The following is a 13,443-nucleotide window of genomic DNA, read 5'->3' as shown; positions in this document are numbered from 1 at the left end:
CTCTGTAAAGTAGAGGAATGCTGTATCTATGCAGACAAATAAACTAGAACACAGACACTGAAACCATTTTGATGAAAATAGATGTGGACTTACTTGGGTAGTTTTGTTTGGCATAAATACCAGTTGCCTTATATAACATTTGCCTTATATCCCCTTCTTCATTTTAGTATGTGTGAATCATGAGCAAATTTCAGATTTTCATACTAGTTGATGAATGTACGTGATAGATATTTAAATATTTATTGTGCCTGCCTTGAAATTCTTCTGTTGAGAGATTCTTTGTTCCTGCAATCCTACTGGATGATTTCCAAGGAGCCATCATGTACCATAGTCAAAGCCAGTTGGCCCAGAAGTGGACATCTGACATAAGCTGGGCCAATCAGAGCCCTTCCCTGGGATATATTGCTTTGGATAATCAGAAAGTTTAGACATTGTACCTCCAGTGATTAAGCTATTAGCAGGAAAACTCAGAAGGTGGCAATGGCCATATTTTCTGCTACATGGAAAAAATTAGCCCCAGATAAGAAAAAAGAATGATGCCAAAAGATGAAAGTAGGAATGAAACTTGGAGCAAGTGTGCTGACAGTGCTGAGACACAGTTCCAGGTCTTCTTAAGTCCAGCTCTGGCCCCACCGTACTGACCACTTGACTGTTCTTGGAGAGACCATTGAGTTGTTCCTCACAGGCAGACCCTTCCTTGTTCACTTCCCATGTATATCTGTGATTTAAAGTTTTGACGCTGGATTGGAGTGTCCTGGTAGGTTGGGTTTCAGGGAGCACTAAAAGCCAGCTAAAGATCTGTGGGGGATGTGGCTTTACTGACCTCTCTCAGTAATTCCTAACTCCCATGCACTTTACCAATTCCTAACTCCCATGCACTTTATGTTCCCTGAATGGTGAAATTATAGGCACAGTCTCAGTGAAAGAACTGAGTCCATTAACACAGATAATGCAGGCAAATGGAACTCCTTTGATCAGAAATCCCTGTCCTGAACAGATCTACCAAAGGATGAATCTGTTCTCTGCTTCTACTAGAATGCTGGGTCCCACCTCTTTCTTTCATTTTTTTTTAGGTTACAATTTGCTGAGTTCTTACAGTATTTCTCAAGCTCCCCTCTTATCACCCCTAATAGCAGAGGAGAATAAACAAATACCTCTTCCCCTCAACTCAGCCCTGCCAGGGATCTTAGGACAAGCTGTGGTTCCTCAAACTGAGTATAAACAGTTTGAGAAGGGTAGAACAAACTCTTCAGAGTACCTCAGTTATCCCTTGAGTAAAACCAATGCACATTAAATGCAAGAAGGAAGGGATAGTGCCTGTGTGACTCATTGCTGTTTGCCCAGAAGCTAGTGCCCAGCATACAATTGGTATTCAGTAAGTAGTTACAGAATGAATAAATGAATATAAGTATCTCCATTTTATAGATGAAGAAGCTGAAGCTAATATAAATCAACTAGTTTGACCAATAATATAACTACCGAGTAACAGAGCCAGGTCCAAAGCTTTAAGTCTTCAAATTCTTTGTCCCAGCGCGGATTCTAAGAACTCTCTGTTGCTAAAAGAGAAACAGCAGGAAGTTTACATGATCTTTCCTCGTGGCACCTAAATGGAGGTAAACATCCAGCAATGCCTGGCAAAGCTTTCAATTCCTGCGGCTAAGTGTTATCATGTCAAAACTAAAGGCAACTTCAGATGTGAGCTCAAACCTGTGTTATTTTTGAGCCTCCCTTTTCAGAAAGCTGTAAAAGAGTGTAGGTGACAAGATGGGAAGGGTTGTGTGTGTCTGATAAAATATTCACTATAAAGACTCACATGTAACTGCAACCCAGAATGGCATTTTTGTGTCTGTTCTTGACATCTAGGGCATGCCTGTGCTGTGTGCTCCCTGCATGTGCTGTGTATGTTGTCACCTATCAGTGGTGCATGCGTTATGAGGGAGGGCCAGAGTGGGCAGTGGTCTGATCTAGGGTATATGACTATGTGGATGTGAGTCTTGGACTTTATACTATATTATATGCCTCTGAAATCACTGGCAAAAACTCTATTTTTCAGCATTTTATGTAATTTATTATGCTCTATAGCTGAGCTACCCAAGACAACTTTCTGAGATGATGGAATATTCTACATCAGCCACAAGTGGCTGGTGGGCACTTGAAATGTGACTCATGTGTCTAAGGAGTGGAATATTTAAATTTTATTTTATTTAAATTAATTTAAATTTAAATAGCCACATGTGGCTAGTGGCTGCCATATTGGACAGCCCAGCTCTCTATTTTTGTAGCAGTAAGTTCCTGTTTCCCAGGATTAATTCCTAATTACAGGCATTTCATTAACTTTATTATATAACTTGTAGAAAATAAATCCATCAGTTATAGATATAACCTCCCTTACCTGGTATGTAGCAGTTCTCCTCAAAACACAATGGGGGAAATTTCCTTTACCTGGGCAACAGTGATGGCTAAAAGCCTTCCTGCCACACTTCAGCCTCTCACGTAGGAACTGGAATCAATACCTGATGAGGTCCTAGTTGTCTTGTTTCTGTTTGGGGCTCACTGTCATTTGGGAGCCTGTACCCATCTTTTATTTCAGGCCCAGTCAGGTTTACATTTAGAGACCTCCATCAGCTTGTCCTGTGCTATATTATTCCCCCTACCTCCTGGTGGAGAGAGAGAAAGTTGATTATTTTAAGGAATTGGCTCATGTGATTGTGGGGTCCAAAAAGTCTGACATCTGCAGGGCAGTCCAGCAGACTGGAGATTCAGGTAAGGATTGATGTTGCAGTCTTAAGTTTGAAGGGGGAAAACTCAGGGAGAACTTCTGTGTTGCAGTCCAGAGGCAGAATTCTTTTTCCTTTGGGAAATCTCAGTCTTTGCTCTTGAAGACTTCACCTGATTAGATGAGACCTAATAATAGAGGAATTCAGTTTACCGAAAGTCAGCTGATTGTAAATGTTAATGACACATTTAAAAAATACCTTTACAGCAACATCTAGACTAGTGTTTTACCAAACATCTGGTCACCATAGTTCAGTCAAGTGGACAAAAAATTAACTGTGATACCTCCCTCCTTAGAGTCAGACAAAACAGTCTTGGAAGTGTCTGTCTCTTTACCCATGCTATGTACTACAGGCTATGGGCACTCTAATTGACCTGTGAGCATTGGGCTTCTCTCTTCCTTTTCCTATGTTCCATATAGCTTTCATTTTTACTAAATCCAATCTGTGTCTCACTTCCTTCTAACTGATTTCTCACCCTGATTGATACGCATCCTCTAAAGTACAAATATGTATATTTACATGCACATAGAGTATATATTGCAGTCATCATTAGTAACATGGTATTCATTTTAGATGTAGAAACAGATAATTCAGCCTTGAAATCTAATGTCATATTGTTATTTTTAATTAAAAAATTAATTTTATTAAAAATAAAAGTGATTCCTCAAATATATAACCAAAGATTTTTGTACAATGAGTTGAGACTTTTTATATAACTAAATTTTTTAAAAAAGAAATATTTTTCACATTATGATTCCTGAATACAGTTACAGTGGAGCTTATCCTTATTCATTATAGAGCAACTAACTGAAGTTGTGCATCAGTCAAAACAGCCATATTTAATTTTCAGTGCCTAAACCACAAATAGTTACTCCTTTAAGTATTTGGGGCAGAACGTTTCTTACAGACAGCAGAAATGAGAAGAAGGTGGGTGAGGGTGTATTTCAGTTTAAACAGATATCCAGCCCATCCAACCTGATGCCTCTTCAATGAAGAAGTAATTCCACAAACATTGGGGGATAAACGTGACAGGGTGTGGTGAACAGATACACAGGATTAGAGAAAGGAAAGAAGATACTGTGATTCCAGTTGGAGAGACCAGATTGACAGCGGGCCCGTCAACTGTGATCATCTACTTTGTAGGTCTGAACTTCCAAGGAAAGCCAGGGCTAGGAGTTCACACTTGGAAATAATTAACATCGGATTTGTGGAACCCATGTGAGTGCAGGAGGTCACCAAGTATACAGTGGAGGAGAGCTGGTGGCTGGGGAACTCTCATGAATACATCACAGGCCCAGCACCATGATAAACATCAGACTGGCTCAGTGAAGGTTATAAATGCATGAATGAGAAGCAGGATTTAATTTAGCCATCAATACACAGTCAAATCACTTTCTGAAAAAGAGGAAAGTGTCTATACTATGGTAAGACAGAACCACAAGAGTCGTGTCTCCTAGGTCTAGCCAAATATTGATCTTCATATAATCTAAATGTGGTCTTCTAGTTAAAAAGACTACTCATCCTTTCTGTTTAACAATTTGGCAGCCTCTACCAAGCCTTTGAAAAGTTAATATCCCTTCACTCATTAATTCCACTTCCAGGAATCTATTTGAAGGAAATAAGCAGAGCTACAAATATGCTTCCTCTTCTTGGGGGTGTGAATTTCCCTGGAACACATGGGATAAGGGCAGCATTTAACTCTGACATCGTTTGAAAGGTTTTGATCCTAGGCAGCACTATGGTGTAAGATACAATATTTGCACTGAAGTTGAAGGTTAAAGATGAGCATTCGAAGAAATCTTAGTTTTCCCTCAGACTCCCGCTCTCCTCTGTTCTTGAAGTTATGACTCTGGTGGGACAGTTGGATATGCTGGCCTACATGGTGAAGTCAGAGTTTTTGTGGGCATGAATACAAGTCCACATGTGTGTCAGTCCTTGTAATGTCTAGTCAAGCCTTATTTCTGGGCTTCTGTTGGCTTCTCACGTCATGTTCCTGAGATATGTCTAGAAATTTCCTCAACACATCAGGCTGTTGCATACTGTCAAGCTTTTGCCTGTCATGATCCATCCTTGCCTTTACATGGATTGCCCTCTCCTTTTCCTTTACATACCTAGTGAACTGTTATTCGTTCCTCAAAGCCTTCTGCAGAGTAGATCCCAAATATGTTTTACCTAGCGTGACATTTTGAAAAAAAAAATGGATTTGAATGCTTTAAGGTGAGGCATACACACTCCAGTTCTGCCACATTTCTCACTCTTCCTTTTGTGTTACACCGTGTCATTTGTTACATCCCTGATCTACTCTGAGAAATTTTCTCAACCTCCCCTTCAGGCAGAAATGATCACCATTGTCACTGTCATTTATATACCTTCATATCCATTACTATATTTTCCTCTATGAGTAATTTTTACAATATTTACTTTTTCACTACTAAAATAACATCCATGCCCCTTAGGTAAATTTTGAAAATTACACAGTAAAAGAAAAAAAATCAATCATAGCCCAACTCCCTAAATACAGTGCTGTTTTTGTTTTGGTGACTCTTTTTATGCATAGTTTATGTATGTATATTACATAGTTGTCATAATAAAGTCAATGAAGTTTAGAATCTTGACTTTTTACATACATGTCATTATGAGCATTATTGTTCCAAGATAGTGTAAATATTTTTAAAGTCTGTTCACAATAATTCATCAAATCTTCTTGAGGGTTAGGGATCCTATTTTATATTTCTGATACCTAACCACTGTGTTGGTCTGGGCCAGTGTATGGGGCTTATTAACTGTTGAATTCTAGAGCAGAAAAATGATGTCTCCATCCCTACCTTCAAGAAGCTCATTCTGGGAGAGAAGACATACTTATTCATCCATTATTTAATGTATTCATTCATTCAACGGATATTTATTGAGGACCTGCTATATGTCAGACATCATTCTATTACTGAGGATGCAGCAGTGTAAAATACCCAAGCCCTCATGAGATGTGTATTCTAGACACATTGATGATTCTCAAACATCAGGCTGCATTGGAGTCACTTGGAGGCTTGTTAAAACACCTATTGCTAGATCCCACTCTCAGCGTTCCTGACCCAATAGGTCTGTGTTAGGGCCTGAGAATTTGCATTTCTAACAGGTTCCCAGGGGATGCTGATGCTGTGGTCTGGGGACAAAACTTTAGAACCCCTGGCCTAGAGGATAAATTTGCAGTACAAAATGGCAAGGGAATATGGTTGTCTGGTATGTTGTGGGGGAAGAGAAGATGTCTGTGTCCAAGCCTTTCCAATTCTTCCAGTCCCAGTGAGGAAGGGGAGAGCTAGGATAATGCCCTGTTTCTGGAGTCCTTGTCTCTTCAGTCTAGATGACTCAGCAGTCTCTGCAGGGTTGCAGAAGCCCAGGACTGATAAAGAGAGAAGTTAAGATGCCGTCTTTATGACCCATTCTTTGGTGCACTTGCCATATGTAATATCTAAACTAAGCTTCAGTGCAACTGCAAAATAAGTGTGTTTTCACTCATTTTGTACATGAGAAAACTGAGGCACAGAAAGTTTATATAATCTACTCTGCTTCCCCAAGATGTTGAGTTACACATCTGGGGCTCCACATCAGGCCTTTTCAAAAGCCTTTAAACTTCATGCTATTTCCATGAGTCTAGTTGAGCCTGGCCTACGGTTGAGTCCTCAGTGGAAGCAGTTATTAAAATGCTTCAGTAGTCACAGCTGTTTCATCTGCATTAAGATAGTAGTAGCAGAAGCTAGTGCAGGTGTCTCCTTACTTCATTTAGGGCTGTAAAACCCATTGCCTTGCTCTTTTGGCATATGTTGCCAGGAAGCTCAGAAGTATGCTTTGCAGGTGGTGGATTTCCTCAGTCTCCAGAGTTCTTTGGTATAATTATCTCCCTGCTATTTTATTTTAAAATTTGTGTTGCTGTGCCTTCTTTTAGGAGCTTTATAGAATATATAAGCTATATGGAATATATGAGCATATATATATTTTCTTTTTATATGAAACCCTTTTGAAATTGGTGGATATCATAGATTAATGAGAGAAAAAATAAAATTTCTGAATGGAATAGATGGTTGTAAGTTTTTTGTGTGCTTTGTTTTGTTGTTTTTTTAACTTTTGAAGCATGAATTGAGCCAACTCTGGGTGTATGAGTGGACGCAAACATGCCCAAAGACATATATGTGGTTGATGCCTTGAGATGTATCCAATAAGTCTTGTGATTAAAAGAATGAACTTTGGCCCAGGCCTGACCTGGTTTTGTACTCTGGCTACTCACTGCTTGCTTTGTGACATTAATGTCTCTGGGCCTCAATGTCTTCATCTGAAATGGAGATAGTGATACCATGCAGAGTCATTGAAGGATGAAAGATTTTGTTGTTTTAACTTACGTAAAATGCCTAACTCAATGCCTAGATATAGTAGGTCTACACTAGACAGTAATTACTACTATTGTTATTTTATGTCTAGCACAGGCTAGGATTTAAAGAAAGACTGGACTGCACATTTGCAGCTTCAGTTTTCCAAGATGTGCAGTGTGGAACAAAAATGACTTTCTGTTTAATGTCAGGGTGGTTCTTCTGAGAAGAGCTGTCAGGGCTGCTTCTCCTTTAGAGAGAATAGCTCCATCCTGGTGAAACTGACTCTCTAATGATGATAGATTAACACTGCAGAGGCCTCAAGATTTTCTGAATTCATCTGCTTATGGGTTGGTGACAAAGACTTAGACAGCTCTGAGGTCTGCACCGCCTTATTTATGTGTAAAGTGACTTAAGCATTCGTGCCTGGAAAGTCCCCTAAATCCTACCTTCTGATTTGGTCTGGTTCTTGCTTGATTTTATTAGATTTTATTCCTTTCAATTTTCCTTTCAAACTTATGAATTACACTCAATCTAATTGCATAGGGGTATTTTTTAGGGAGAGGGAGAGTTCAAATGCCTCAGCATTCCAGGTGGGTGTTCATCTCCTATCCTGTTGGTACAGGGAATGAGAAGGTACCATCACCTGGCTGCTGGATGGTGTGGACTAGGACTTTGAGGGCCAAGAGTCAGTCTGTAGCTGTGGGCTAGGCATGATCTGTGGGCTCCTTTGACCTTCCCTAAGCCTAACAACACCAGGGAGCAAGGTGTCCATCAGATGGTGCATCTCGTGGAGGATGTGGCCACAGCCTTGGCACGGGGGTGATTTTCTCCACTTCTGCCCCTCTTGGCCAAAACTATTGCCCAAAAAGGGAGCTCTTTGGGTCTAAAATGCCATCTGGTCTTTGTATATGATTATATAGACAAGCTGTAGTTACACAATAGCCTGATGGGCAGGAAGTCAGTGATTCCTCTGAAAAAAAGTAACAACAACAAAAAAACACTCTACCAAAATGAACTTCCTCTTTCAAACTCTTTGTTTAGAACTTTTCCAGCCTCTTTAAAAAAAATGGCTAATAAGGACTACTGCAGTGTTTCAAAATGGTGATTTCAACCCTTCAAACCCAATGCTTTATTTTTCCATCAGACAACATATTAAAAAAACAAAAAACAAACAAAACAAAAACAAAAACAAAACAAAAAAAGCCTATCCTCTTCAGACCAGGATGTGGCGGCAGGTGTCCCTGAGGACACGGGGCTCCTGCCAGCTTGAAATTCTTCATGTGCACCTGAAATAGTTTCGCAGGCCTCAGGGAGGCTCTTTGCACTCTGCACATGCCCTTTTGATAGACGATTCCATTCACTTGGTTCCCTTCCTTTTGTTTGCCGCACAGATCCAGGAGGCTGCAAGCCAGGGCCTGAAATTCATTGGTGTTATGCCTCAGTACCATTCCCCTGTGGATTTGGCAGGCAGCAGTGCTCCGGTGTCTACTGCCAACAGCATGGAAAATGCCAGGGATGTAAAAAAAATGCACATGGGGATCATGTGTCACTGGAGAATGAGAAACCAGGGACTAGGAACATGTGTGGTGCCCTGGCTGGGAGAAACCAAATCCCAGAAACTGCTCAGGCCCCAGAGGGGAGGTACCCATTGCCCAGAAGCCCAGCTCACCCCCTGGAGAGGGAGATGGTGGACAACTTTCACCACGTGGGGTGAGCAAGACACTGGTTGACCCAGATGGCGACTCATTGGAGGTACATGAAGAGCCACTCTCAGGGAGTAAGTATGTCAGCACTGGGAGTTTTGACCCACTTAAAGAGTGACTAACAGCTTTTCATTAATCCCCATGGTATCTCAGAGAAAAAGGAATGGAATTAGAGTGTAGAGATAGCAGTCCATCAAATAGGAGAAATTTTATCAAGCAGTTATCTGGGCCACCTGACTGTTTACTTACTGAAGTTATGATTTATGGAGAGAACAGAACCACATGAAATTGACTTGCAGTGTGCTCCAAAATGTCATGTTTGAAGTGGATTCTAGACTCTTGAGTTCTTTTACCTCCTGTGCTCTCAAAATTTCCCTTGAATCATCCAGCTTTCACACAGAAAGTGGCAGCCTGCCAGGCACCAATGACAACCTACACACAGCTTGTTAAAATACCTGCCTAAAGTAAGATATTTTACAGCTGTGCAAACTGGGATTTAGAGAGGAAATTTGTTGCCCAGTCTGGAAATAGGAAGATCCGGCATATGAACCCAGGTGGACTTACCCAACATCCCTTCACGCCTTTCTACTTGTTCTTTCCTGTGTGATAGACTAAAATAATTTACTGAGGTCCTCAACAAGATTTATAGGGAACAAAGTTTCCCTCTGTTTCTCTGTATTGCCTTTTTCTCTACTTTCTTCAGGAAATCTACCATCCATATTTCCCCTTTCTCCAGGAAATCTAGCATCCAGTCATTTCCTGCGAGTAAGGTATGTAGACGAGCCATATGACCCCTTCTAGCCTTTGAAAGGTGAACAAGTATGAAGACTGACAGAAGACACCCAGAGGTTAGGAGGGCTTTCTCTTTAGGCCTTTCTGGATGTTCTCTCAGGTTAATATTGTTATTATCATTTATTTACTAATTCTTGAAATTAGCCTCTTACAAGTGATAATGAACAGGTAGTGCTTCAAGAAGGGAAAACAAGGAGAAACAGTATGTTTTGTTACTTCCAAACTTCTTGAGAAGAAAATTATGGGATGGTTAATTCCAGGGGCCTATTTGCAAAATTGATTTAGAGGGAGATATTGGAGCTGCCTCAGCTGTGTGATATAGTAAGACTACTGTTTAATCAAGGCCTTGAGCCTTCTTAAGTATGCGCAGAAATAGAGCCATTCATTTGTGTGATTTTTCACTGTTTGAAGCAGGTGCCTGCTGCACCTCATGGAGTAGCTGAGCATGCATTTAAGCCCGGTGTGTCCTCCTCATGAATGCTCAGGCCTTAATCCAGAAACCTCCAGCTTCTCAGGAGATTGGGCTTGATGTGTGTACTCTGAATCTTGAGCAAGAAGATGGGCCTCATTGGAGCCCTTCTCTGCAGTCCAGGACTGTAGGAGGGCAAGGGTCAGGCCAAGCAGAGGCCCCCAGGAGAAAAGGAGGGAGTGACAGAGTGGTGGGGAACATAGTGCTCAAAAATCTAGCCTCTGTTTACATTCCAACCTGCCTTCCATGCCTCAATTTCTCACCCTGTGAAATGGGGATAGAATGATGGTTTCTCATGGAAAGGTTAAAGAAGACATATTTAAAGCACTTGGCAATGCTTGACTCATGAGTATGAGCTGCTACTATTGGGGTACAGGCTCAGTAGTCCTGACACTCGACATCGACCTCTCATGGAATCCTGGCTTTGAGAAAGGAGGCAGTGACTACTGAGGTTTCCTCAGGATTTTTCAGATTTTTACTGTGTTCTAGAGCCCATCTTCCTCTGAGACTCCTTCCAGACCTCCTGCCTTCTGTGAGAGCATTATTCACTGGGGAGACTTGTCCTAGGAACCTTCCCAGGTGCCCAGGACCTTTATGCTATCCTGTGGCCACTCACTTCCCTCACCCAGAATCTCTCCCAATGGCTGAACACACAGAAAAATTGACACCCACAGCATCTTGGCCACTATCCCGTCACCCAAGTCCCCATTCTCTCCTGGAAAAACAGACCCCGCTAGGGAGGAATGGGTGAATGCATGTGTTTCTGGAGGCGGTCAGCCCACCAGTAGATGAGAATTTCAGCTCTGCAAGTATAGGCCAGGGGGAGGGATTAAATCCTCCTTCGAGCCCATTCTCCCTAGGCAGGTAAACACTGCCTGTCTCTATGCATAAAGCAGCCCCTTTATCTCTCTGCTCAGGCTGCAAATCTCTGAAATTTAGGCAGCTCACTGTTGTCCTTTTTTCCTCCTTTGGTGGAATAAATAAGCCTTTGGGTTTGATCATTTCACATATAAGCCTTTCAGTGGTCATGATGGCAGTCACCCTCCAAGTGCACTATTCTATGTCCTTCTCGTGTCATCTCAGTTACTCCTCACAACAGCTTTATGGCAGAAGATGCTATTATCATGTCCGTTTCACAAGTAGGGGGTGTCACCTTTTGTGGCCCCATTCAGTTAAATTTCTTTATCACAGCTTGAGCATTTGGCCTTCTTGAAGGCTGAATGTCCAGGGACCCTGTCCCCCTTGGTTGTGACCCTCATCTGACCCCCAGCCTCTCTCTTAATCTTTCTCCTGGGAAATCCACTCACCATCACTCCCCAACAGTCACAAAGAGCTACCCCCCACCGCTGCCCCCAGGCACCCCTCCCGGCTGCCTGCTCAGCTCCCAGCTTGTCTTCTCTCCGAGCCCTTTAAGGAGGGAAGTGTTTTTACTCCTCTTCTGCCAGGTGGGCTTAAACAGGCAATCACAACAAGACAATTAAAAAAAATCTGGAGAGAGTCTCCCTCCTCTTCCCACCTTCTCCTCTGTTAACTTATTTTCTTTACAGCAGGCCTTGGGGAGAGGAATCTAGGCAGTGACTTCTCAGACAGGACTTTCCAGTGGATTCTGCATGTGGAAGCAGGGGCAGGTCGTCCCTCCCCATGTCTGCGGGCTCCATGCAGCCGTCATGTCCTTGCCTCTGCAGGTTCTAGGGGAGGCCCACTATGTGTTCCTCTTCCTGCTCGCTTATTTCCTGGTCTGGGGGAATTTCCTTTTGGTTGGAGGTCCATGCTGTGCAGTGATCACCTGAGCCTGTGCAGGGACAGCCTCACCATCTCTGCTGCCACAACTTCCATCAGAGAAACAAGGAGGCTAGACAGGTTCAACAAAATTCTAATCATTCTCACTGACACAAAATAATAAGTCTTCCAAGCACTGCCCTTCCTATGCTGCACCTCCTCACTTAAAAGGCTTAGAAATGTCAGCCTGAAACCTGAGCATATGATGCCAATCATGTTTCTGGCTGAGACGATTTTATTCAGTAGCACTCCCTGGCTGCCAGCTTATTGTGAATGGCCAAAACCCAGGGGTAGGGCTTTCCTGATGTAGGGGTAGGGCTCCTTCCCTCCCTACACTCTCGGGACAGTTGGACCCCATGATATGGCCCCCTCCCAGATCTGACACTGCAGCCATCTTTCTCATCTTTTACTCAGTTCATTAACAAACAGCTATTGAGTTCCCATGCATAGTCATTGGCCCCTGCCTTCTGTGTCCTGATGAATTAGCCTCTTGTTATATTTGGGAAAGAGCCCAGAGTTTGGGGTGTGAAAGGCCCTTGGTTGTGCCACATATAGGCTTGTGATTTCTGGGGGATCCAATTAATGCTTCTGGGCACATAATCAGTGCCGCCCCCTCCCATCAAGGTTGGGAGAGTCACATGCGATGGTGAAGGTGAAAGGCCCTTGTAAATAAGGGACACATGCCTGTGGTTGTTGTCATCCTTACAAGTGGATTCCCTTGGATTGTTGTTCATGCAGCAGTCCCTGCACTTTGCCTTTCCCTGCTGCCCTGGCAAGCAGGCCTCGTGCTGGCCCAGAGGTGCCCTGCTATTAGTACCCAATCCTGACTGAAGCTTGAGCAGCCTTGCCCAGATTTAGGCATCTGGAATAGCCTACGGCCCTTCTGCCCTCTTGCCCTGCCTTGCCACCATGGTGCCCACTGCCTGCCTTCCCAATACAAACATTTCTGCTTAGTCCCTTCTGCCCATGACCTCAGCAGCCTGCAGTCCCCACCAAGTGTGATGCCCACTTGTTCTTTCCAGTGCAGGTAATAGCCAGCTGCCTCCTCCTCCCACATCTAGCCCTTGGAGCCCCAGATTTTCAGCCAGCCTCTAAACTCTTTCTTCTCACCTGACCAGAGGTCCAGAGGCCCAGCCAGTCACCTGCTTACCCTCAAGACCTGGGCTCTCTGGGGCCCCACCTGCAGGCAAACTGCAGCCTTCCATCCTGTGTCTGAGTCCCCAGACCCAGGCATAGACCTCAAGGCTGGACACCTGCCTCTTTCCTCCCCACTCCCTAGTAGCCTGGCAAAGCCTGAATGGACCAGTTTCCCAGGCTGGCAGGATTCAACTACCCCCACCCTTGGGCCCCACACCCCCTTAGCCTGCCCTCACATTCTCCTCTGGTTGGCTTAGGTCAATACAACAAACACATGTGCAATAGGAGGGATCTAAATGAGACAAGGTGGGGAAAAGGGAGAGATGAGAAGAGAGTCCCAATGGGTGCTCTGCCAGTGCAGTCCTTCAGCAATTCCCAGAACATGATCAGAACCAATGCCTTCCGTACCCCTTTGGGACTTACTG

The 13,443-nt window shown here is 43.2% G+C and overlaps 1 pseudogene; it reads left to right on the top strand.

Moving 5' to 3' along the window:
- Window positions 1-13,443, top strand: part of RFTN1P1 (raftlin, lipid raft linker 1 pseudogene 1) — a 63,733-nt pseudogene that overhangs the window by 38,341 nt on the left and 11,949 nt on the right.

Source organism: Homo sapiens, chromosome Y, assembly GCF_000001405.40.
Source record: "Homo sapiens chromosome Y, GRCh38.p14 Primary Assembly".
Taxonomy (NCBI): Eukaryota; Metazoa; Chordata; class Mammalia; order Primates; family Hominidae; genus Homo; species Homo sapiens.
The sequence above is the reverse complement of the archived record's forward strand: the minus strand, read 5'-3'. Positions and strand labels throughout refer to the sequence as shown.